We start from the raw sequence: 24,821 nt of genomic DNA on the forward strand, positions 1-24,821 counted from the left end.
GATGTGGGTGGGGGCTGGGAGGACTGGCACAGGGTGGGGGACCACCTTGCCAGAGTGGAGGCCCCCCAGGAGGTAGGAGCTCCCCTCCTGCCTGGGGAAGACACTGGCCCACATGGGGTCAGAGGCCACAGCCGCCCACCCCACCCTCTTCCCCTAGAGCCCGGTGGTCTGCGACTCCCCTCCCACACATGGTCCCGGGTCACTCAAAGGACGACACGGGGAGCTTTCCTCGAAGAATATTTTAATACATTTTAAAACTCAACAACCTTGTATAAAAACCTGTCGAGTCTGCTGGCACAGCTGGGGCTGGGGGTTGGGGGCCGGGGGCCTGTGTGGACAGGGCTGGTCTGGACGAGTGGGTTGGGGCAAGAGGGCATCGCTCATCCCAACACAGAAACAGGTCTCCAGCTCCGAAGATTAAACAATCCACCCGGCTCCCACCAGTTCCTTTCCAAATCACGGCCCAGCCAGCCCCGTGCGTGTCGAGAGTGGGAGAGGGTGTGTGGAGGTTTGTGCTGCCCCACGTGGGCACCCGAAGATGTCCACCCTCTCCGCCCTGGGCAAGTCACGGAGAAAACACAGCTCTTTCCTCCACAACAAGGAAAATGATTTAATTCTACAAATTTACAAACCAAAATACAAAAACAAAACATGGAGCACAAAGTAAGACGAGGAGTTCCGAGTCTCATCGCAGCTCCAGCCGCAGTAGCCACGCCTGTGGTCCCGGCTGAGTTCTCCCCATGACGGGGTCCACTCTGACCTTCAGAACTTGAGGCTGAAGCCGGGGCCCGCGGCAGAGGCCCCCTGGTTCGTGGTGGTAAGGTGGAAGCCCGTCTCCTTCAGGTCGTCGTCACCCTGGGACGAGTCGGCTACCGTGAGAACCCTGCCCAAGCCAGCCCCACCTGTGGGCACGCCCCACCCGCCAGGCCCCTCACCAGCTGGCTGTAGCCCAGGCCTCCCTCAGGGGGCCTCGGGCTGGTGCCCCGCTTCACACGCTGCTGCTCGCTCTTGGCGGGCCACGTGGGGAACATGGAGGGGTCGATGGGGAGGGGGGTCTCGCGGAAATACTCATGCTTGAGGCCGTCCTCAGCGCTGATCCTCCTCCCGGGGAAGTAGGTCAGGAACCTGGGGGGAGAGGGCCAGAGGCCCAGGAGGTGCTCGTGTGCTCCACTGGGTCCCCCAAAGATGGGCTGTGTTGGGACGGGGCTCAGGGCATGGGACGCCAGGCACCAGAGCAGTTCTGGAACGTGGTGAGCCAGCAGGTAGGCCTGGGACTGGGAAGTCACCGCTATGGCTCGGGACCTCCCGCCACCCGGCTGCACTGGGCTCACTTGTTCATGAGGTCGAAGCCCTGGTCTGAGAGCAGAGCCCCGAAGCGCTTGCGGAGGTTGTTGTAGGGGTGCTCGCTGAAGGTCATCTTCTTGACTGCTGGGAGCTCGCTGTAGCCGGGCCAGATTTTCTCACTAGGGGTCCCCAGATCCTGAAAGACAGAGGTGCTTCAACAGCCACACCAAGTGGCCCACAGTGTTGGCACCTGTGTCCCGTCAGAGAAGACAAGCCACCAGGAGGGCTCTCAGTGGCCCTGGTCCCCATCTCAACCCAGCACCTGTGCGCCCCGCAGCCCCATTCCTGCAACTCCTCCACAACCCCACAGCGCACCTGCAGCAGGGCCAGACCCACCTTGAACACCTTGTTGATCTGATCGATTTCTGACTTCCCGGGGAACAGAGGCTTCTGAGTCAGCAGCTCCCCGAAGATGCAACCCACTGACCACATGTCCACGGCCGTGGAGTATTCCTAAGAGGTCAGGAGAGGTGTTCAGGAGGGCCAGTGCCCGCGAAGCTGTGGGAGGCTGCGTGGGGGACAGGGGAGGCACTCAGACGCCCAGGACTCACCTTGGCACCAAGCAGCAGCTCTGGGGCGCGGTACCACAGGGTCACCACGACCGGGGTGTAGGCCTTCAGAGGGGATCCGTACTCCCGCGCCAGCCCGAAGTCACCCACCTGCAACGACAGATGGGCGGCTGTGAGTGGGCCCCGGCAGGTCTCCCTGGGATGGGCCACTCGGAGGGGGGCTCACCTTGAGGATGCCGGCGTGGCTCAGCAGCAGGTTGGACGTCTTGAGGTCACGGTGCAGGATCCAGTTGTCGTGCAGGTGTTTCACCCCACGCAGCAGCTGGATCATCAGGGTCTTCACCTCCCCTGGGAGGGAGGGAAGCTCCCATGTGGACCTGGCTGCCCCCAGCCCAGGGCACTCAGGGTGGCCCACTCGCCTCGGCAGCAACAGAGGCTTCTCAGGGCTTTCCCTGTGGATGCAGCTGGCCCTCCCTGCAGCACTGTCACCGCGGGGGTGACCAGGACCCTGCCCCCACTTGTACGCAGACAGGCCCCTGGGGCGCGGCTGTACCTGGCAGGAAGGGCTGTTTCATGGTCTCCATCAGGCTCTTGAGGTCGTGCTCCACATAGTTCATCACGATGTAGATCTTGTCCATGTTGCTGCCCACCACAATCTCCTGCAGGGCACGGCTCTGTGGGTGCTGGGCACCTCCAGGCCCCCACCCACCCCTGCACCCGGGTGCAGCTGCTGAGGGACAGTAAGGACCTCCGGTGCCACCCGGGAGGCAAATGCTTGCTTCTGTGTGGTCTGTGAAGGGCTCCACTAAGTGCAGGAGAGTGTAGGAAGCACCCGGCCCCAGGACAGCACGGGGCCCTGTCAGAAAAGCCTTCCACCCGGGGCCAGGCGTGGTGGGGCCATGCTCACTCTAACGGTGACGATGTTGGGATGCTGGGCCTTGAGGATGGTGTTGATCTCCCTCAGCGACGTGATCGGGAAGCCCTCCTTCTCCTTCTCCATCTTCAGCCGCTTTAGAGCCACAATTTCATCTGTGAAGAAAATACAGACGGCACTGAGAGGCATTCTCAAAGTCACGGTACCAACAGTGGACTCGTTCAGTGAGGACCGCAGGCAGTGCCCAAAGCGCCAGCATTTCACGGAGGGGGGTCTCGTTCTAGGTGGGGGCACGTGGGCACCAGGAGAACGCCCCAGCTGAGGTCTGGGCAACACCCACGGCTTCCCACTCAACACACCACAGACACTCACAGCCACCTACAGCCACCTGGGATCCCAGCGGCCACGCCGACTCCACATCGACTTCCCCAACAGAGCCGGCCTCACCTGGGATCCCAGTGGCCGACTCCCAACAGAGTTCCCGGCTCACACACCTGCTTGGGTGGGACGCTGGGAACGCAAACCTGCACACCAGCCCCGGCACAGACCACTCCACGCGCTGGGCCTCGGCCCTGTGGGGCAGGCCGCCTGCTACTGCAAGGGAGTGGCAAAGCCCCAGGGCCAGGCTGACCTCTGGCTTCTAGAGGTGCTGAGGGGTCCAACCTCCAGTAGCTGCTCAGGTGAGGCGGGCCCAGGTGCAGTCGCAGCTCTCGGGCAGCCAGCCCCTGCCCCACTTCCCCTGCCTTTGTGGGGTGAGGGGACCCCACCCACCTGTTTTCTTGTCTTTTGCTCTGTAGACCACTCCATAGGTGCCCTCCTCGATCCTGTTCAGGCACTGGAACTCCTCGACGCTCCGGCAGCCCTGGGAAGGAAGCGCCTGTGTGAGGTCTCAGTGGCCATGCCAGCTGGAGGGAGGGCGGCTGCGTCCACAGGCACGGCACACCCGGCACGGGGCAGGTGCAGGGCAGAGCCTTGGGACTGGGCCGGGGGTGGAGCCGGGAGCAGCTCAGTTCTTTCAAAGTCTCTTTCCTTGCAAAACCATCTGACACTTTATTATGAAACAAAACCAGTGTGAACAAAAGGCCATCCCAGCCAGGTGCAAGGGCTCAGGCCTGTAATTCCAGCACTTTGGGAGGGCAAGGCAGGAGGACTGCTTGAGCCCAGGAGTTCAAGACCAGCCCGGCCAACATAGCAACACTCTGTTTTCTATTTTTTTTTTTTTTTTTTTTTGAGACGGAGTCTCGCTCTGTCACCCAGGCTGGAGTGCAATGGTGAGATCTCGGCTCACTGCAACCTCCACCTCCTGGGTTCAGGCGATTCTCCTGCCTCAGCCTCCCTAGTAGCTGGGAGTATAGGTACGCACCACCACGCCAGGCTAATTTTTGTATTTTTAGTAGAGACAGGATTTCACCATATTGGCCAGGCTGGTCTCGAACTCCTGACCTCTGATCCGCCCACCGCCTCGGCCTCCAAAAGTGCTGGGATTACAGGTGTGAGCCACTGTGCCCGGTCAAAACTCCTTTCTACAAAATAAAAAAATTAGCCAGGCATGGTGGCTTGCGCCTGTAGTTCCAGCTACTCAGGAGGCTGAAATGGGAGGATTGTTTGAGCCTGGGAGGGGGAGGCTCCAGTGAGCTATGATTAAGCCACTCCACTCCGGCCTGGGTGACAGAGACAGACCCAGTCTCCAAAAAAAAAGCCATCCCAAGAGTCTCTTTGTCAAACTGGATGTGTCCCCTGCTTGTACCAGGATGACACTGAGGACGGGCCCTACCTGCCAGGCGCAGCATGATGCCCCATGCCAGGGCACCTACCCCTCCGTGTACCTTGGGGCCGGTGCCCAGGCCGGATGTCATGTACTCGGGGTGGCCTGTGGCCCGACGCCTACGCTCAGCAGCACTAAGGGGCAGAGGCGCTCACAAGGCATAGGGCAGTCGACAGAGGCCTGCTGCATGCGCCAGAGAGAACCTCTCCGCCCACAGGCACCAAGGAGGGGGCCGAGTCCCTGCCGGTCTCCCAGGCCCCAGAGGCCACTGGCACCTTCTCAGGCTTGTCCCTTCCAAATCGCTCCCAACAATATCCTGCCTTATTGATAGCTGCCTAAGCAAAAGGCTTCTGGTCACACATCTACACTGACTCCCGTAGCCGCTCCCCCATCCAAGCCCTGCACAGATGCCGGTAACAAGGCCTTGGTGCCTACATAACCCGCCCACGCAGGGGTCAAGTGGAAGGCACTGCTCTCCAGTGCGGAGGAGGACGCAACTCGGGCAGCAGTGACAGCAGCGCGGCCGCACGCCCAGGCTGCCTTTCAAGCCGCAGAGCAGTCCTGCGGGCAGCTCCCTGTCCACCCAGTTCCGTCCAGCATGAGAAAGAGGCGGGACCTAGAAGCATGAGGGGCCAGTGGCTGTGCCCGCCCGTCACTGCCCCAGTGGGCCCAGCAGCCCTGTGAGGCGACAGACGCCAACACGGGGGCCAGGCTTCGCTCAGCCCCTGTGGTAACTCCGACTGCCAATGCGGACAGTGGCCCGGGGCGAGGGGAGGGCCTGACCTGCAGGGCCGGCAGGTACTTGGGCAGCTCCTGCTTGAGCTCGATGGGCGACAGGGCAGGGGAGTCGGGCACATAGTCGCCCTCTGTCAGGGCGCTGCTCTGCGGCGTTCCCTCACCCACTTCTTCCTCTGCTTCTTCACTCTCCCCGGAATCTCGGTCGAACCGTGACTCTGGAACTGGAAAAGTTGAACCTAATTACGAAGCTAGGAGTAAGCAAGGATCATGAACCTCCTCCTGCCCCGGGGGCATCAAGCGCGTGGCAGGGCTGCCCCGTGTCCCGCTGGGAGGTGCTGGCGCTGGGCTCTCGTCCCCTGGACACAGGGCACCGAGGCCTAAGAGTGCTGGCAGGCTCGGCTGAGACAGAGCCCGGATGCTGAGCTGGGAGGAGGCGTCGGGTGTCATGTGGGGGACAAGCCCACATCCACGTCCACCAGGCTGAGGACATAACCTCACTGCCTGTCGGAGGCTGGGCCAGGCCTCTGCTCTGCAGGGACAGGCCCGGAGCCACCATCTGACGGGCCTCCCCTGTGGGGAACTGGTCCTGGGCTTCCCAGCTCCTCGGCCCTGCTGGGCACTCAGGACGCCCTTGGTCAGCACTGTGCCTCGCTGAGGAATGCGGGCCCCACCGGCACAGCCTGGAGCGGCCAACGAATCAGGCGGCCTCCCAGACCCTGGCGTGCCCCACGCTGCGCAGGACCGGCTGTCTTAGGAGAGGGCTGCTGCACTCGGAGACAGACAAGGAGGGGGCTCTGTCTCCAGGGAGGTTCTTACCAACCAAGAGGTGGTTTTCATTTTCTCGTTCTTCATCTTCACTCATTTCTTCCTCACTTACTTCTTCTGCAAGAGAAAGGAGGCGTCTGCTCAGACCAGCACCGGGGCGAGTGCTGCCACAGGCAGGATGCGGGCTCCGCTTCAGCTAAGCAACAAGTGTTCCCAAGAATGGATATGCAGGCCGGGCGCGGTGGCTCACGCCTGTAATCCCAGCGCTTTGGGAGGCCAAGGCGGGTGGATCACCTGAGGTCAGGAGTTCGAGACCATCCTGGCCAACGTGGTGAAACCCCGTCTCGACTAAAAATAAAAAAATTATCCGGGCGTGCTGGCGCACACCTGTACTCCCAGCTACTTGGGAGGCTGAGGCGGGAGGATCACTTGAACCCGGGAGGCAGAGGTTGCAGTGAGCCGAGATCATGCCACTGCACTCCAGCCTGGGCAACAGATCAAGATTCCATCTCAAAAAAACAAACAAAAAGAATCGATGTGGAGGTGTCCCGAGAGAGTCCTAGATAGAAGGGAGTTTCAACTCCCCCGCCCGCCAGCTACTTCTCTGCGGTTTCTAACACTATAGTGAAGTCACAACACCTCACATAGTCGTCGCGGTGCCTCACCGGCAGACTGCTCTGATGCCTCCTCAGAGTTGCTGCCGGTCTCCTCCTCCTCCTCTTCCTCTTCCTCCTCCTCCTCCTCTGATTCTTCACTGGTGCTCCCTTCCTCCTCCTCCTCTTCCTCCTCCTCCTCTTCTTCCTCAGAACCTGAGCCTGATTCCGCTGTAGAAAGACAGCAGAGCAGAGGGTGAACCTGGGCCTTCCTGGGCAGCAGTGGTCAAGGCCTTGGCCAGGCGGTTCCAGGTACCTGACGAGGACTCGGCCGAGCTGGTCTTCCTCTCGCTGTCGCTGATGTCCTGTAAGTCGGACAGCAGGTCCCTTTCTTCCATTTTCTCTTCTTTTACTTATGAGATAAACCATAAAGGTGAATTTGGGGAAATGTTTTTAAACAAACAAGCTACCACCACCCCAAAACTAGTGCCTTTCACGTAACGATTAACTTTGCTTGGTCGGAAACCAGCTCATCCAGAGACGCTGGAAGCCACTTCTCTAACGGGGCCAGTGGCGAATGTCCCAGCGGATAAACACACGTCCTGTGTCCTGGCCGCACACAGACACTCACGGTCCCTCTCACGACACGAGAGGACTTCAGCCAGCACATCTCTCACTTTCTTCTGAAGCGGTTACTTAGCTGGGCTTTAAATGAATCCTACACACTTATGCCAAACATCCCCCAGAAAAGACTCACACTGTGCTGGCTTCTGCGCAGGCGCCGGCCTGGCCTCACCTGGCTTCCGGCCGTCTCCCAACTCGAACCGCTCCCGCGGCGGCCGAGGCGGGCTGCGACTCCAGTGGCTGGCTTTCACTTTGTCGCTGTAGTCCTCTCTCATCGTTCGGTGATGTGCAGACACTGGCGCGCAGGGCAGAGAGGGAGATGGCACTAGCAGCACTGCCTTCCTCAAAAGGCCCCACCCGGCACAGCTGCCTCGTCTCCCACACCCGCACCTGGCAGACACACCCACAGCGTGCACAGGGTGCTGACAGCATCGGGGTCAGAGGCCAGAGGTCTCCCAGGAAGCCCAGGGAGAAAAAGCTCCAACCTGGAGGCCGTGAGCCCGAGGACCCAGGTGGACCTTCTAGACTGATCTTCACTGGTCAAAAAGGAAGGGGCGGGAGAAGATTCTGGAAAGATGGAGTAGGAAGCACTGGGAATCAGTCTCCCCACCGAGACAACACTTGCATCACAGGATCAGGCCTGTGCAACTACTGAGGTGCTCTGGAGTCTACTGAAGGTTTGCAACTTCAGGGGGAATCTTGGAGAGTAAACTGTGATTCATTAATCAACGTCACCGCTTCGCACATTAGTGGCTCCCACCTCACTCCCCGCTGGCAGGCAGCAGCCTGCATGCAGCTCGCCGGACCCAGGTGGGCAGACGGACACACACACCCGAGGTCAGTGTGATGACTGCGTGTCCCACCCCAGAGGCATGAAGAGGCAGCAGCCACGGCCACCCCCAAGCTGAAGGTACTTCCAGGGCATGAGCACCACGTCCCCCGTTGCCCCCTTCATTTCTCTCTATTCCCCCTTTAGGAGGCAGACACTTCAGGACAAGAACATTAAAAACATCTGTATTGACGGGAACGTTAAAAAGTGGCTGCACGTGACCAGGAAAAGGCTCAGGCTCAGAAAAGACCCGTGAAGACCCTGAGTTTCCACAACAGGCCGACCCCACAGACACAGCCCAGCACAACCAAAACAACAAGTGCACACCCTTGAGTGGGGACCAGGAAGAATCACATCATGAGAATCAAATGTCCATTTTTTTGACTAAGAAAAACACAAGAGAAACAAAGAAATAGGACAGTATGTCCCATTCAGAGGGGAAAAAAAGAAGCCAACAGACACGGTTCCTGAAAATCACCTGACGGTAGATGTCCCAAAGACTTTAGGGAACTGTCTTAACCTTCAGTTCCTCAGAGAACGAAAGGAAGATGTGGAGAAAGTCAAGAAAATGACGCGTGAACACGACGGAAATATCAACAGAGACAGAAGATCCAACAAGAAACCAGAGAGAAATTCCAGAGCTAATAAGTACATGCTCACAATAGACACTAAAAAGTAAATATTCACAACAGAAACTCACAGGCAGATGTGAGCAGGCAGAAGAAATAATCGGTGAGCCTGAAGACAATAAAATCACATCGTCTGAGGAAAAGAAAGCAGAAGAGACTGAAGAAAAGGGAGCAGTGCTGAGCGGCCTCGGGGACCCCAACAGATCTGTGGGAGCCCAGGAGGGAGGAGAGGAGCAGAGAGGGTATCTGAAGAATTCCTCAAAACCCCCACATTGGATGAAAACCGTAAATATAAACATTAGAGAGGCTCAGTGAACTCCAGGTAGAATGAAGTCAAGAGGCCCACAGGAAAACCCATTATTAAACAGTTGAAAGCCTAAGGCAAAGAGAATCTTCAAAGCATCCAAGGGATCCTCAATCAGGTCATCAGATTAAAGCATCCAAGGGATCCTCTATAAGATCATCAGATTTCTCATCAGAAACTTTGGAGGCCAGAAGACAATGGGCTGAAATAGTCCAAGTGAAAAGGAAAAACTGTCAGCTAGGCATGAGGGTTCCTTGAGCCCAGGAATTCAAGACCAGCCTGGGCAATACAGGGACACCTTGTTTCTACTGAAAAATGAGCCAGGTGTGGTGGCACACGCTACGCCTGTAGGTCCCAGCTACGCGGGAGGCTGAGGTGGGAAGATCACTTGTGCCCAGGAGTTCGAGGTTGCAGTGAGCTATGATCGCTCCACTGCACTCCAGCCTGGGCAACAGAAGAAGACTCTGTCTCAAAACAACAACAACAAAATTGTCAACCAAGAACCACGTATCCAGCAAACTTTCCTTCAAAGATGAGGGAGAAATGAGGATATTCTCAGATAAACAAAAGCAGAGGGAGTTCATTACTACTAGACCTAGACCTGCCTTGAAGAATAAGCTCCAGGGAGTTGTGTGGGGTGTAAGGAAAGGACGCGAGACAGAAACCGGAAGCTGGGTGAAGAAATAAAGATCTCCATTAAGGTGAGGACGTGGGTGACTATAAAAGCTCGTACTGGCCGGCCGCGGTGGCTCACGCCTGTAATCGCAGCACTTTGGGAGGCCGAGGTGGGTGGATCACGAGGCCAAGAGATCAAGAGACTATTCTGGCTAACACGGTGAAACCCTGTCTCTACTAAAAATATAAAAAAATAGCTGAACATGGTGGCGGGTGCCTGTAATCCCTGCTACTCCGGAGGCTGAGGCAGGAGGATCACTTGAACCCGGGAGGCAGAGGGTGCAGTGAGCCGAGATCGCGCCACCGCACTCCAGCCTGGGGGACAAGAGCAAAACTCTGCCTCCAAAAAAAAAAAAAAGGCAGGGGCGAAAAGCAAGCACCGGAACCAAGCGCCCGCCTGTGACAGCAAGTGCCCAGCACCAGGGGGCAGCAGACACGCGTCCCGCCGAGCACAGCTGCCCACCGCGCCGCCTACCTTCCCTGCGGGCCTCCCGCTCCTTGCGCCGCTCCTCTGCCCGCCGCTCGCGCTCCTTCTGCTCCCGCTGCTCCTTCTGCTGCTCCCGCATCTTGCGCTCCCGCTCCCGCTTCCTTTCTAACTGCTCCAAGCGGTCCCTGAAGAGGCACACGCCATCATTCCCCCTAAACAGAAGCTTGCTTATCGCGTTTTTGTCCACATTTGTAAACTGGCTTTCTACGTAATTCAATCCGTGAAGTTTTTTTTTCATTTTTTTATTTTATTTTCTTTGAGACGGAGTCTTCATCTGTCCCCCAGGCTGGAGTGCGGTGGCGCGATCTCGGCTCACTGCAACCTCCGCCTCCCGGGTTCGAGCGATTCTCCTGCCTCAGCCTCCCGAGTAGCTGGGATTACAGGCGTGCGCCCTGTACTCCCAGCTAATTTTTGTATTTTTAGTAGAGACGAGGGTTTCACCATGTTAGCCAGGATGGTCTCAATCTCCTGACCTCGTGATCCGCCTGCCTCCGCTTTTCAAAGTGCTGGGTTTACAGGCCCGAGCCACCGTGCCCAGCTGCCATTTCCAATTCTAATTAATAAATGATCCATTTCTTTCCATTCGATCGGTGTTTGCTTCATGGATTTTGGGCTCTGTGGTTAGATGCATTCACACGTATCATTGCTGTATCTTCCTGCTGTATTGGCCTGTTTCTGGCTGTGAAGTCCTTGCTCCTTCTTGTTTCTAGCTTTTTTTTGAGACAGGGTCTTGGTTTGTCACCCAGGCTGGAGTGCAGTGGCGCAATCTCGGCTCACTGCAACCTCCATCTCACGAGTTCAAGTGATTCTCATACCTGAGCCTCCCGAGTAGCTGGGATTACAGGTGTGCGCCACCACACCCAGGTGATTTTTGTAGAGACAGGGTTTCACCATGTTGGCCAGGCTGGTTTCTAATATTTCTTAACATCTGTTTTGTCTGGTATGAGTACAGCCATTCAAGCTCTCCTATGACAGCTGATGTTTGTACGCTGCGTCTTTTCCTGTTCTCTAGCAGACAGCATACAGTTAGATCTTGTTTTTCTATCTGATAATCTGCCCTGTCTGTTTGGGGCACAGAGACCTTTCACATGTCATATAATTACACGTACAGTTGGATTTACTTTCCTTGCTTTGTTGTGTCTTTTTTATTCTTCCCTTTTTGATTTTAAATTACATATGTTTAGCATACCATTTTAATTTATTTGTACTTTTTAAAACACTAAGAAAACAACTTTCTTAGTGGTTGCTCTAGGGATCACCGTATGCCTCATGATACTAGCTCAAGTCCAGTACAATATAAAACTGTTGTAACACAGCTTTATTCCCTGTCTTCTTTGTGCAGTCCATTTATGCCACATACCATGACAACAGTGTAATTATTTTATACAATCGTAGTTCCAGTAAAACCTAAGATGTGAGGAGAGATAGTTACAGGATATTGACGTCAACCTACACTTGCTATCTGCAGTGCCTGTCCTTCCTTCCTGAGGATTCAAGTTACCGTCTGGTGTCATTTCTATTCAACTTGAAGGTCTTCCTTTAGTATTTCCTTTAAGGCAGGTTTCGCCAACAATGAATCCCACCAGTCTCTGCTTCTCAGGGAATGTCGTTCGTTCCCTTTCACTTGTGTAGAACGGTTTTGATTCCTGGCTGATGGTTCTTCTCTCTGAGCAGCTTGAGTATGCCACTCCACTGCCTTCTGGCCTCCATTGTTTCTAAGAAGTCAGTGGCTGGCGGTATTGAAGCTCCCCTTTCATGGGATGGGTCATTCTTCTCTGAGGCCTTTCAACATTTTCTCTTTGGCCTTTGCCAGTTTGACTATGATGTGACTTTGCATTTATTCTAGTTCAAACTTCCTGTGCTCTTGAATGTGCATATTTTTTAATTAAAATTTGGAAAGTTTTTAACCATTATTGTAACAAATATCTTTCCTCTCTCCTGGAACCCCCATTCGACGTGCTTTGGTACAGCAGATGTTGTACCACGGGTTTCTGAGGCTCTGTGCATTTTTCTTGTTTTTTTCTCTCTGTTCTTCAGAATGGATAATTTCTACTGCTCCATCCACAAGTTGTTTCCAAGCCTTTACTAAATTCAACATCTGGACACTCAGACAGTTTTTACTGATGATGTTCTTCCTCAGTATGGGTCACACTGTCATACTTCTTTGTATTTTAGATAATACATTTGTAGCAATTCTGGATTCTAAGTTTTCCCTTTCGTTGTTACCACCGAGGCCTGTCTGGTTGTCCGTGAAATCCATCTCCCTCACAGCTCGTGGCCACCCCGTTCCTTCCCACATGCCTATTTTAATTTTCAACCTTGGCTTCCTAGGGGTCACCACCATGGCTGCACAGCTTAGCAATTAGCCAGCACTGGAAAAAGGCTGGGCTCAAATACCTCGAGCACAGTAAGGCTTCCTTGGCCCACGGCTGTGTGTGGACAGGGAGCACACTGAACGTTCACGCGTCATTCGCATCTGTGGCGGCTTCTATTTTCTGCCAGGTCCTTTCACGCAGCTGCATCCTCAGGGCTGGTCACAAGTGGGTGGCGGCTCGAGCTCTCTCCAGTCTCTGCTGCACGTCTTTGGCGAGATCACAGCTGCTCCCAACCACACTGTACTTCATTCTAGCAGACCTCTTGGCCTTTTCTTCCTCCCTCCACTGAGGATGCTGGTGGGCAAGGCCACTGCCCACTGCTCTAAACGGAGTAACCCCTTCCAAGGCAGCAAGGAAACTGCAGGTCCTGCAGCTGCCCTGTCCCAGTGGAACCTCCGTGCTTCCCAAGTGCAGAGTGGAAGCAGTAAAGGGAGCAGCTCTCAGGCCAGAAGGTCAGATTCTTACTGCTTTCACCCACAGCTCAGCAGTTTTCCAAGCATCAGTGCTTCTCAGATTATCCTTATCAGTTTCCTTTTTGTCAGAGACAAGGTCTCCCTACGTTGCCCAGGCTGGCGTCATGCGGTCCTCTGGCCTTAGCCTCCCACGTAGCATATGCTACCATACCCAGTTCTGGATTGGCTGATCTGAATCGGCCCTACCCAGAAGTCTGCCCCCAACAATTTTTGCTCATTCACTCTCCTGTCTTTACCTTCTGGGAAATCAATATGACAGCCCAAATTTCATCTACCAACCTCCACTTCTATCCCAAGCTGTACTCTCGTGGGACAAGACACACTCAATGTCTGGCACAGGGTGTGGCATACATGAATGTTTCACACACTAACAGGAACTAGGCCAACTGAAACCTTGCTCACCCCGCAGCGGTCTCGGACCTTGACCCCTGGGCCTCAGTGTCTCCCACACCCTTCGGCATCAACAAGAACCAGCGCCCTCTCATCATCTTTACATGCTGTGTACCCAGCCCTGGCTGCTGGCAAACATCGCTGCCCTTCCGCTTCAGACTCCTCTCTTCCTGGAGCAGCTTGCAAGCTTTCTGTGGACTCACTCTGAAGGCGGAGATGGGCCTGCTCCCACCTGGCCTACAGCCTTTTTCCTGGTTCACGGAACAGATCTGGGGCTACACCGATGTTCTTTCTTGGGAATCTGGCTCATAAAGGGGAACGAATATATAAACTAATGGCCAGGAGTCCTGGGAGTCCAGGGTCCCGAATTCCAGACTGTTTCAAGGTTTTTAGGATCTCCCTTCTCCTTTTTTTGAGACAGTCTCACTCTGTCAACCAGGCTGGAGTGCAATAGCATGGTCATAGCTTACTGCAGCCTTGACCTCCAGGCTCAAGGGATCCAACCACCTCAGCCTCCTAAAGTGCTAGGATTACAGGCATGAGCCACCGCGCCCGGCCGGACATGCAGATTTCTGATCCCTTCATTGTCTTCCCTCAATCAAATCACACCCGTTCTTACTTCCAGATGCAGTGAAAACTCACTCCCTCAGGACAGTTCTCTTGGTCAGCCTCGTCCAGCGTTCACTGTGCTGTTTCCATGTCTACCACTTCTGCACCAAATGTGACTTCTTCTTTTTTTTTTGAGACGGAGTCTCGCTCTGTCGCCCAGGCTGGAGTGCAGTGGCGGGATCTCAGCTCAATGCAAGCTCCACCTTCCGGGTTCACGCCATTCTCCTGCCTCAGCCTCCCAAGTAGCTGGGACTACAGGTGCCCGCCACCATGCCCAGCTAATTTTTTGTATTTTTTTAGTAGAGACGGGGTTTCACCATGTCAGCCAGGATGGTCTCCATCTCCTCACCTCATGATCCGCCCACCTCGGCCTCCCAAAGTGCTGGGATTACAGGCGTGAGCCACCACACCTGGCTCAGATGTGACTTCTATTGCCAAATTCTTCTTCATTTCTAGGATGGGACACACTACCACAGCCCTTTTATAAAGTCCTCAACTGACCCAGCCGACTCACCTTTCTCTCCTGGAATGCTCCCTTGCCATCTCCCTTCTCTTCTGTCTTTCCCATTCCCGGCGAGCTTTATCCTGTTCTTCTCGATGCCGTTTCCGACGTTCGTGCTCTCTTTCTTTTTCTTTCACTCTAGCATGCTTCCCTAATGAGAAATAAAGTGTCATGCAAAGAAACCTCACTTCAAAAATTTCACATGAAGCCGGGCACGGAGGCTTATGCCTGTAATCCTAGCACTTTGGGAGGCTGAGGCGGGCGGATCACCTGAGGTCAGGAGTTCAAGGCCATCCTGGCCAACATGGTGAAACCCCGTCTCTACTAAAAATACAAAAATTAGCTGGGCGTGGTGGCAGGCACCTGTAATCCCAGCTACTAAGCGAGGCTGAGGCAGAAGAATTGCTTGAACCCGGGAGGCGGAGGTTGCAGTGAGCCGAGATCACGCCACTGCACTACAGCCTGGGCAAAAAAAAAAAAAAAACCCACGTGAAACTGAAATTAAGACCGGGCGCGGTGGCTCACGCCTGTAATTCCAGCACTCTGGGAGGCCGAGGTGGGCGGATCACAAGGTCAGATCGGGACCATCCTGGCTAACACGGTGAAACCCCATCTCTACTAAAAATACAAAAAATTAGCTGGGTGTGGTGGCGGGCACCTGTAGTCCCAGCTACTCGGGAGGCTGAGGCGGGAGAATAGCGTGAACCCAGGAGATGGAATTTGCAGTGAGCTGAGATTGCGCCACTGTACTCCAGCCTGGGTGACAAGCAAGACTCCGTCCCAAAAAAAAAAAAAAAAGAAATTAAATCAAGAACAGTAAATATTTAAATAAATATTTAAATAATGATGTTAACGTTAAGTAATCCTAATTTTTCTTTTTTTTCTTTTTTTTTTTTGGAGATGGAGTCTTGCTCTGTCGCCCAGGCTGGAGTGCAGTGGCGCAATCTCGGCTCACTGCAAGCTCCGCCTCCCGTGTTCACACCATTCTCCTGCCTCAGCCTCCCGAGTAGCTGGTACTACAGGCGCCTGCCACCACGCCCGGCTAATTTTTTGTCTTTTTAGTAGAGACGGGGTTCCACCATGTTAGCCAGGATGGTCTTGATGTTCTGACCTCGTGATCTGCCGGCCTCGGCCTCCCAAAGTGTGGGGATTACAGTTGTGAGCCACCGCGCCCGGCCTTTTTTTTTTTTTTTTTTTTTTTTAAAGAGACAGGGTCTCGCTATATTGGCCAGGCTGGTCTTGAACTCCCGGACTCAATTGATCCTCCAAAGTGCTGGGATTACAGGCCTGGGCCACTGCACCCAGCCGAATAATCATGATTTTATGTTAAATAAAAAACTTTGAAAATAAAAAACTATCTGCAGTAAGCGTCTAATTATGAAGAAAGAAGAAAAAAGAAAAACAATTCTGCTATCACAGAAGAGCAGAATTGTAATATTCGTCTTTTAAAACTTTTCCATACTGAATAAACTATAATTATCAGTTTTATAATACAAAAATCACTCTTCACAAAGACTACAGAACAAAGCTTTGCTATCAGTGGGCTTCTCCACTGTGCAATGAAGCCACATTAATTAATCAAGTGTATTTATAATCATGACATTTCAATCGGGCTCCAGGTCCAATTTTCCTAACACCCGTAAGAACCTCCTGATGTTGGTACGAGATCAAACTGCTCAAGCCAAACCCATTCTTTGGACTTGAGCAAATACCCATTTTGGGGTGTGTTTTTCTCCTATACTTGTTGAATTCAGGTCATTTTAAATGTAAACAAACTGCTTCCAAACAATATAATGGGGGAGAGAAAACCCCAGAGGAAAAATGGACTAGCCATTCTGAATGGTCTGTGACACACGCACGCTTTCAGCTAGAGTTTGCTCTCTCTGGTTTTCGGTCTGTGATACACGCATGCTTTCAGCTGGAGTTTGCTCTCTGTAGCCCCTCTGAACGGTCTGTGACACACGCATGCTTTCAGCTAGAGTACTCTATAGCCCCTCTGAATGGTCTGTGACACATGCACGCTTTCAGCTAGAGTACTCTCTCTATAGCCCTTCTGAATGGTCTGTGACACACGCATGCTTTCAGCTGGAGTTTGCTCTCTCTGGTTTTCGGTCTGGGACACATGCATGCTTTTAGCTAGAGTTTGCTCTGTATAGCCCTTCTGAACGGTCTGTGACACACGCATGCTTTCAGCTGGAGTTTGCTCTCTATAGCCCCTCTGAATGGTCTGTGACACACGCATGCTTTCAGATAGAGTATTCTCTCTATAGCCCTTCTGAATGGTCTGTAACACACGCACGCTTTCAGCTAGAGTTTGCTCTCTCTGGTTTTTGGTCTGTGACACACGCATGCTTTTAGCTAGAGTTTGCTCTGTATAGCCCTTCTGAATGGTCTGTGACACATGCATGCTTTCAGCTAGAGTTTGCTCTCTCTGGTTTTTAGTCTGTGACACACACATGCTTTTAGCTAGAGTTTGCTCTGTATAGCCCTTCTGAATGGTCTGTGACACACGCGTGCTTTCAGCTAGAGTTTGCTCTCTCTGGTTTTTGGTCTGTGACACACGCATGCTTTTAGTTAGTTTGCTCTCATAGCCCTTCTGAACGGTCTGTGACACATGCATGCTTTCAGCTATTCTCTCTATAGCCATTCTGAATGGTCTGTGACACACGCACGCTTTCAGCTAGAGTTTGCTCTTTCTGGTTTTCGGTCTGTGACACACGCATGCTTTCAGCTAGAGTTTGCTCTCTCTGGTTTTCGGTCTGTGACGCACGCATGCTTTTAGCTAGAGTATTCTCTCTATAGCCATTCTGAACGGTCTGTGACACACGTATGCTTTCAGCTAGAGTTTGCTTTCTCTGGTTTTTCAGTGGTGCTCTGGGGAAGGCAGAAGAGTAGGAACAGGAAAGAAACCACACTTGAACATGATGTCAAAGAAAGTAAATGCTTCTGTACCCCCTTCTGCTGAATGGCTACGATGCCTACGTTTCTCTTTTCTCTTTTCATCTTTTCTGTGATGAGCTTTTTCTTTCCGAGACATTTGCTGGGGTGGTTTGATGGCCAAAGAATCATCTTCTTCTCCTCTGAAATAAAACACAACAGCACTGCATCATGCTTGAGAAAGTGCAAAGAAGCATCAGGCTATTATAAGGTTTCTTCAACCCAGAAAAATGCATGATTCAGACAGGAACAAAGCTGAAACATCATTTAAAAAATTACATTAATTCTCCAACTTTAGGCATCTTTTTTTTCTTTTTTTCTTTTTTTTAGACAGTCTCGCTCTGTTGCCCGGGCTATAGTGGCACGATCTCGGCTCACTGCAATCTCCACCCTCCGGGTTCATGCCATTCTCTTGCCTCAGCCTCCCGAGTAGCTGGGACTACAGGCGCCCGCCGCCACGCTGGCTAATTTTTGTATTTTTAGTAGAGACGGGGTTTTACCATGTTAGCCAGGATGGTCTTGGTCTCCTGACCTCATGATCCGCCCACCTCGGTCTCCCAAAGTGCTGGGATTACAGGCGTGAGCCACTGCGCCCGGCCTGTATTTATTTTTTTGAGACGGAGTCTCGCTCTGTTGCCCAGGCTGGAATGCAGTGGTACGATCTCGGCTCATTGCAACCTCCCCTTCCAGTCCCAGGTTCAAGCAATTCTCCTGCCTCTGCCTAAGGAGTAGCTGGGATTACAGGCATGCGCCACCACACCCGGCTAATTTTTTTATTTTTAGTAGAGACGGGGTTTCACCATATTGGTCAGGCTGGTCTCAAACTTGTGACATCATGATCCACCCACCTCGGCCTCCCAAAGTGCTGGGATTACAGGTGTGAGCCACCGCACCCAGCTTTATTTTTATTTTTTTCAGATAGAATCTCGCTCTTTCCCCCAGCCTAGAGTGCAGAGGCACAATCTTGGCTCATTGCAACCTTTGCCTCCCAGGTTCAAGCAATTCTCCTGCCTCAGCCTCCTGAGTAGCTGTGACTACAGGTGTACACTACCATGCCAGGCTAATTTTTGTATTTGTAGTAGAGACGGGCTTTCACCATGTTGGCCAGGCTGATCTTGAACTCCTGACCTCAGGTGATCCACCTGCCTCAGTCTCTCAAAGTGTTGGGATTACAGGCGCGAGCTACTGCACCCAGCCATTCACATCATATTTAAACAAGGGCAGCTCATTTTATGTTATTTATTCCCCAATAAATCTGTTAAAAGATCCTACAATTTTGGCTGGGTGCAGTGGCTCACGCCAGTAATCCCAGCACTTTGGGAGGCTGAGGCAAGTAGATCACCTGAGGTTAGGAGTTCAAGACCAGTGTGACCACACAGTGAAATCCGTCTCTACTAAAAATACACACACACACACACACACACACACACACACACACACCCGAGCGTGGTGGCGCATGCCTGTAATCCCAGCTACTCAGGAGTCTGAGGCAGGAGACTCACTTGAACCCGGGAGCTGGAGGTGGCAGTGAGCCGAGATCATGCCAGTGCACTCCAGCCTGGGCGACAGGGTAAGACTCTGTGTCAAAGCAACAACAACAACAACAAAACAATCTTCATAATCTCAAAGCGTCATTTAACAGTATCTTCAGCTGATTTCTGTATCACCAAAATTCTGGGAAAATTCACACCTTAAGCTTCTCAGGAAAACCATTATACCGTAATTTCTGGCTGTGTTTCCTTTAATTACTAATACCTGATGACGTATACGAGCTAGATATGAGAAGAAAACAAACGAGAAACAGTTCATGGCACAGGAAGAAACGTCGGAACACACAGGTCTCAACAAGAACATTTCCTTTTTTTCCACACAGGGTCTTGCTCTGTTACCCCAGTCTCATCCATTTCCTTGTCTCTATTCTAGGCTCTGTCAGGGGTGCTTAGAAGCTAGGCCCTGAAAACCCTGATGATGACCATGAGGGGCACCTGCTATGGCAGGAAAACTCATTTAGTTTTTCTCATCTTCTTTTTTTTATTTTGTGTAGAGACGAGGTCTCCCTGTGTTGCCCAGGCTGGTCTTGAACTCCTGGGCTGAAGTGATCTGCCTGCCTCGGCCTCCCAAAGTGCTGGGATTACAGGCGTGAGCTGCCGCGTCCGGCCAATATGAACATTTCTCATCAGCGGCCCTCCTCAGGTATCTTTCAGCATTCTACTTTATTTGTGCAAAATCTTTTTTTTCCTTTTTTTTTTTTTAGAGGCGGGGTCTTGCTCTGTCGCCCAGGCTGGGGTGCAGTGACATGATCTTGTCTCACTGCAAGCTCCACCTCCTGGGTTCACGCCATTCTCTTGCCTCAGCCTCCCGAGTAGCTGGGACTAAAGGCGCCTGCCACCACGCCCGGCTAATTTTCTGTATTTTTAGTAGAGACGGGGTTTCACTGTGTTAGCCAGGATGGTCTTGATCTTCTGACCTTGTGATCCGCCCACCTCGGCCTCCCAAAGTGCTGGGATTACAGGCGTGAGCCACCGCGCCCGGCCTTTTTTTCCTTTTAAGACGGGGTTTCACCATGTTGGCTAGACTGGTCTCGAACTCCTGACCTCAGCTGATCAGCCCGCCTTGGCCTCCGAAAGTGCTGAGATTACAAGTGTGAGCCACCACACCTGGCCTGTGCAAAATCCTATATAGTATATTTTATTAATCAGTGTAACACATGGCAAAGTTCTTTACAGAAAGAAGGGGCAAGGGTCTGGAGGGCCACAGACAACACTTGAGAGTCAGTCACAACTGTGACATAAAAACCTCAATAGTTACGCTATGTCACAGTAACTCTAGGAAAGAGTAAACCTTAATAGTTACAACAGCACACAGTTGTCACAGCGACCCTAGGAAGGACCGGCCAGGCCAGGGCTGTGTACAGCTGGGTCTTGCACATCTGTACATCCGCTCACCTGTCTTCCATAGAGTCTTCTCTTCTATACGGGGAGTTCCTTATTGTGATCTCCATGCGGTGATCTCTCAGCTCCCCCTCCTCAAGGGAATCCCGCTTGGAATCCCGGTCATCAGACTAAGAAGCAAAGAGAAAGTTAATCATTTTCTTTATAAGTTTTTTTTTCTTCATAGATAAAAGTATTTTTAATGATAATCAAACCTGGGCAACATCCCAAAACAAACTTTCATATATACTCTGAATGAGCCAGTGTTATAAAATATAAAGAACTTTTGGCCGGGTGTGGTGGCTCACGCTTGTAATCCCAGCACTTTGGGAGGCCCAGGCAGGCGGATCACGAGGTCAGGAGCTCGAGACCACCCTGGACAACACAGTGAAACCCCATCTCTACTAAAAATACAAAAATTAGCTGGGCGTAGTGACCGGAACTGCTTGAACCCGGGAGGCGGACATTGCAGTGACCCGAGATCACACCACTGCACTCCAGCCTGGCGACAGAGTTAGACTCCGTATCAGGGAAAACAAACAAACAAACAAACAAACTTTAATTCAAATCTTATCACATTAAAATTACAACTCTCTGTAATCTGAAACCTGAGATGAGAAATTTAAAAATAGCATATATGACAAGGGACATTAGACTCTATGCCAAGTATGTTAGTTGCTTATATGAGCCAAAAATGAATCTTAAGGCGTATCTTGCAAACCAAATACTTTGTGATACCTCATATGGTACAGGCATCCCTTGGAGATATTTTGGGTTTGGCTCCAAAACACCACAATAAAGTGAGTCACACAGATTTTTTGGTTTCCCAACGCATATAAAAGTTTGGTTTAGGTCAGGCATGGTGGCTCACGCCTGTAATCCCAGCACTTTGGGAGGCTGGGTGAGGCAGGTGAATCACCTGAGGTCAGGAGTTCCAGACCAGCCTGACCAACAAGGTGAAAGCTCGTCTCTACTAAAAATATAAAAATTAGCCGAGCGTGCTGGCAGGTGCCTGTAGTCCCAGGTACTCAGGAGGCTGAGACAGGAGAACTGCTTGAACACAGGAGGCAGAGGTGGCAGTTAGCTGAGATCATGCCACTGCACTCCAGCCTGGGCAATGGAGCAAGACTGTCTCAAAAACAAACAAAAAAGGCCGGGCGCGGAGGCTCATGCCTGTTGTAATCCCAGCACTTTGGGAGGCCGAGGTGGGTGGATCATGAGGTCAGGAGATTAAGATCATCCTGGCTGACACCGTGAGACCCCATCTCTACTAAAAAATACAAAAAATTAGCTTGGCATGTTGGTGGGCCCCTGTAGTCCCAGCTACTTGGGAGGCTGAGGCAGGAGAATGGCGTGAACCCGGCCCTGGGCGACAGTGCGAGACTCCGTCTCAAAAACAAAAAAAAAGCTAACAAAGTGAGCACATGCTATTGGAAAAATGCTCAATGCAGAGTTGCTACAAACCTTTAATTTGGAAAAATTTCAATATCTGTGAAGCATAATAAAGTGAAGTGCAATACAACAAGGTATGCCTGTACTCACTAACATCCCAAATGATGCTGCTAAAGATCTTAGCAAAAGAGGTACTTTGCCAATGCCTCTTACCAAATTACTAAAAAGGTTTCCTGAGTACATTACCATGCAAACCAAGAAAGATGTAAAATATTTATATTAATTTCAAGGCAAGTTCCCACTATATTAAAAATACTTAGAGATAGTATTATGAACATACTAATGAACCGAGAAAAATTAGTCCAGTTTTGCTAATGACTTAACATTCAACGTATTTTATTCTCCATGTATGCTCAATCTAGACACAGCTTTAGTGTGTTAAATCTGCCTTTAATGTCAACTGAATATTTGAATGTTTTTGTTAATTTTTAGAATAGATTTTGGGCTCACCTGCGACATTTGGAAGTACAAAAGAACTTCACCGAAGAAGCGTTGTTCTAATGGAAAAATGAGGGCAAAGAAATTAAATCTCCTTTAAGAAAACCACTTACTTAAAAAATATGGCTTACATTTTTTAAGCGTTTTATCTCTGCTTTCTCCTCTTGTTCCTTCCTTCGTTTCTTTTCCTGAAGAATTTCATCTAAAGTTTTCACTTTCCAAGAGTCCTTTTCATCACCCATTTGAGTTAAAACACTGCAAAAAGAAAAATAATTCAGCCTACATCAGGACACAGCAAGCTATGGTGCTGAACACTTGAACCTAGTCACTTTTGAGGGATTCAGAATAAATCCTCATTAAGAATAAGAAGTTGTGCCCGGCGCAGTGGCTCAAGACGGTAACCCTAGCACTTTGGGAGGCCGAGGCGAGCAGATCGCTGGAGTTCCGGAGTTCAACACCAGCCCGGGCAACATGGCAAAACCTCGTCTCTACAAAAAATACAAAAGTTAGCCCAGTGTGGTGGCGCGTGCCTGTATTCCTAGCTACAGGAAGGAGGCTGCTAGAGGCAGGAGGATCACTTGAATCAGAGAGGTCAAGGCTGCAATGAGCCAAGACTGCGCCACTGCACTCCAGCCTAGATAACAAAGTAAGACTTGGTTAAAAAAAAAAAAAAAAAAAAAAAAGTAAGCTCTAGGCTGAGGCGGGTGGATCACAAGGTCAGGAGGTCAAGACCAGCCTGGCCAACACGGCGAAAACCCTGTCTCCACTAAAAATACAAAACTTAGCTGGGCGTGGTGGCGGGTGCCTGTAATCCCAGCTACTCGGGAGGCCGAGGCAGCAGAATCGCTTGAATCCGAAAGGCGGAGGTTCCGGTGAGCCGAGGTCGCGTCACTGCACTCCAGCAAGACCCCGTCTCAAAAAAAAAAGAAAAAAAAACAAGAATGATAAGTTGTAAGCCAGGCAAGGTGGCGAGCGCCTGTAGTCCCATATACTCTGCAAGCTGAGATGGGAGACCGATTGAGCCCAGGAGTTCCAGGCTGAAGTGCGCTTGTGAACAGCCACTGCGCTGCAGCATGGGCGACAAAAAAGAGTGATGGGTTCTGAAAAATGACCGCTTGAAATCAAGTCTCGTTTCTGTCATTCTTGTATGGTCTTGGGTAACGTAATTCACCTCAGTTTAGTCTTCCGTACAACCAGAATAACAACACCTACGTGATAGTATCGATCGCGGATTAAAGATCATCCGTTTAAAGGCTCTTAACTCAGGACCTGCCACTCATCAAACACTGCTTTTACTGTCAGAATCTGCTAGAAAGACCGCTTGGACTACGTGAAGCCACTAGCACACTGGACAGCTGCACCTTGAGACCGGGGAGATGCTCCGAGATGTGCTCGCGAACAAGGCCACCTGACCCGGGCACTGGGCTATTTCCTCGGGTTCAGTCCCGCACACTTGAGGTTCAGCCTGGCAGACGTTGGCTCCAGACAGCGTTTGGACCCGCCGCCTCCACCACCCAAAGTTCCGTGCGGGATGAGACTGTCCGCGGAAGCGAGGGTGTCGCTCGCCCCCGGGCCCGGGTCCGCCCCGCTCCGAGGCCTGCTCGGAAGAAAGACCTCGGTGCGCAGTTCTCCTCGCGCTCCCACACCTGGTCCGCCCAGTCGGAACTCACCCCTACGCCGCCGCCGCTGCCGCCGCCGCCGCCGCCGGTCCCGGAGCCAGAGAAGAAACAGCAACCGGCGCGCGCCAAAAGTATCGTCACTTCCTGTATTGGCGCGTAATGATGATATAATAGCCGACCTCCGGCCCAGAACTCGAGACAACGACAGGGGCTCGCTCTGTGCGGCACTTCCTGTGTCTGCGCGGGATGATAACGCATAAAACAGCGCTTGCTCAGGTCCAGGACGCCAGAAGAAACAGCCCGGTGAGCGCACTTCCGACTTCGGCGCGGGCTGTGACGCAGGAATCGGGACTCCGGAGGAGCGACGCCCACTTTTGGAGCAGTTTGCGCCTGCGCGGAACGCGTGGCCGGCTTCCGGAATCCTACCGGGACTTTTCCGGTAGCGAAGCCCGCGCCTGTGCCAAGGCTTGCGAGCAGAATGCCTTCGCGATGGACGCCCGCATTCCACCCCCTTGACCGCTGGGACCCCTAGTGGCGGGTGGGTGGAGCGCGCTCCATTTACCTGCTGGTTACCTCGTGAGGCGCCTCAGGTCTGTGTGTCTTGTAAAGGCCGATCTCGGAATTTAACTCTGAACCTTACTCAGAAACAGGGCAGGGAGAGCTCTTACGATGTGATTTTATTTTATTTATTCATGTATTTACTTTTGAGTCGGAGCCTTGCTCTGCCGCCCAGGTTGGAGTGCAGTGGCGTGGTCTTGGCTCACTGCAGCCTCCTCCCGGGTTCAAGGAATTTTCCTGCCTCAGCCTCCCGAGTAGCTGGAACCACAGGCCCGCGCCACCACGCCCGGCTAATTTTTATATTTTTGGTAGAGACGAGGTTTCGCCATATTGGCCAGGCTGGTCTCGAACTCCTGACCTCAAGTGATCCGCCCGCTTCGTCCTCCTAAAGTGCTGGGATTA

General features: G+C 52.3%; 1 protein-coding gene across 27 annotated transcripts, besides 3 other annotated features; it reads right to left on the minus strand.

Moving 5' to 3' along the window:
• Positions 1 to 223: 223 nt before the first annotated feature.
• On the minus strand, positions 224 to 24,003 carry CDK11B (cyclin dependent kinase 11B). Of its 27 annotated transcripts, NM_033489.3 has the most exons (21): positions 23,913 to 24,003; positions 22,374 to 22,497; positions 22,255 to 22,301; positions 20,368 to 20,483; positions 17,438 to 17,565; positions 14,498 to 14,636; positions 10,125 to 10,261; positions 7,385 to 7,507; positions 6,905 to 7,000; positions 6,661 to 6,819; positions 6,047 to 6,112; positions 5,276 to 5,451; positions 3,499 to 3,589; positions 2,761 to 2,882; positions 2,407 to 2,512; positions 2,080 to 2,201; positions 1,896 to 2,003; positions 1,681 to 1,797; positions 1,332 to 1,480; positions 936 to 1,125; positions 224 to 855 (listed from the first exon to the last, which is right to left on the minus strand). In NM_033489.3, the coding sequence occupies exons 3-21, from the start codon at positions 22,261 to 22,263 to the stop codon at positions 763 to 765; spliced, it is 2,247 nt and encodes a 748-aa protein (NP_277024.2). In that variant the 5' UTR covers positions 22,264 to 22,301; positions 22,374 to 22,497; positions 23,913 to 24,003; the 3' UTR covers positions 224 to 762. The 27 variants fall into 27 exon arrangements, with proteins under 27 accessions (NP_277024.2, NP_001278274.1, XP_006711128.1 ...); NM_001291345.2 differs by lacking the exon at positions 22,255 to 22,301 and having other exon boundaries at positions 17,468 to 17,565; XM_006711065.5 differs by lacking the exon at positions 22,255 to 22,301 and having other exon boundaries at positions 7,346 to 7,507; positions 17,468 to 17,565.
• Positions 23,846 to 24,568: an enhancer, noted in NCBI's record as "NANOG-H3K27ac-H3K4me1 hESC enhancer chr1:1590308-1591030 (GRCh37/hg19 assembly coordinates)". NCBI's record gives its function as "activates a minimal SCP1, AML or CMV promoter by ChIP-STARR-seq in primed H9 embryonic stem cells {active_cell/tissue: H9 hESC(primed)}" and the evidence as "EXISTENCE:reporter gene assay evidence [ECO:0000049][PMID:30033119]".
• Positions 24,000 to 24,089: an enhancer, noted in NCBI's record as "active region_28". NCBI's record gives its function as "activates an Ori minimal core promoter by ATAC-STARR-seq in GM12878 lymphoblastoid cells {active_cell/tissue: GM12878}" and the evidence as "EXISTENCE:reporter gene assay evidence [ECO:0000049][PMID:35858748]".
• Positions 24,110 to 24,389: an enhancer, noted in NCBI's record as "active region_29". NCBI's record gives its function as "activates an Ori minimal core promoter by ATAC-STARR-seq in GM12878 lymphoblastoid cells {active_cell/tissue: GM12878}" and the evidence as "EXISTENCE:reporter gene assay evidence [ECO:0000049][PMID:35858748]".

The sequence above is a fragment of the Homo sapiens genome, chromosome 1 (genome assembly GCF_000001405.40).
Source record: "Homo sapiens chromosome 1, GRCh38.p14 Primary Assembly".
Lineage (NCBI taxonomy): Eukaryota > Metazoa > Chordata > Mammalia > Primates > Hominidae > Homo > Homo sapiens.

Bases quoted from the DNA above. Each gene is read 5' to 3' on its own strand.
- CDK11B (XM_011542490.4), bottom strand. From the start codon at position 22,484: ATGGGTGATGAAAAGGACTCTTGGAAAGTGAAAACTTTAGATGAAATT. The intron at 6,113-6,660 runs GTGAGGCACCGC...TTTCTCTTGCAG, and splicing joins GGCATCAGAGCAGTCTGCCG to AAGAAGTAAGTGAGGAAGAA. The intron at 2,202-2,406 runs GTACAGCCGCGC...CCTCCCTCCCAG, and splicing joins GAAACAGCCCTTCCTGCCAG to GGGAGGTGAAGACCCTGATG.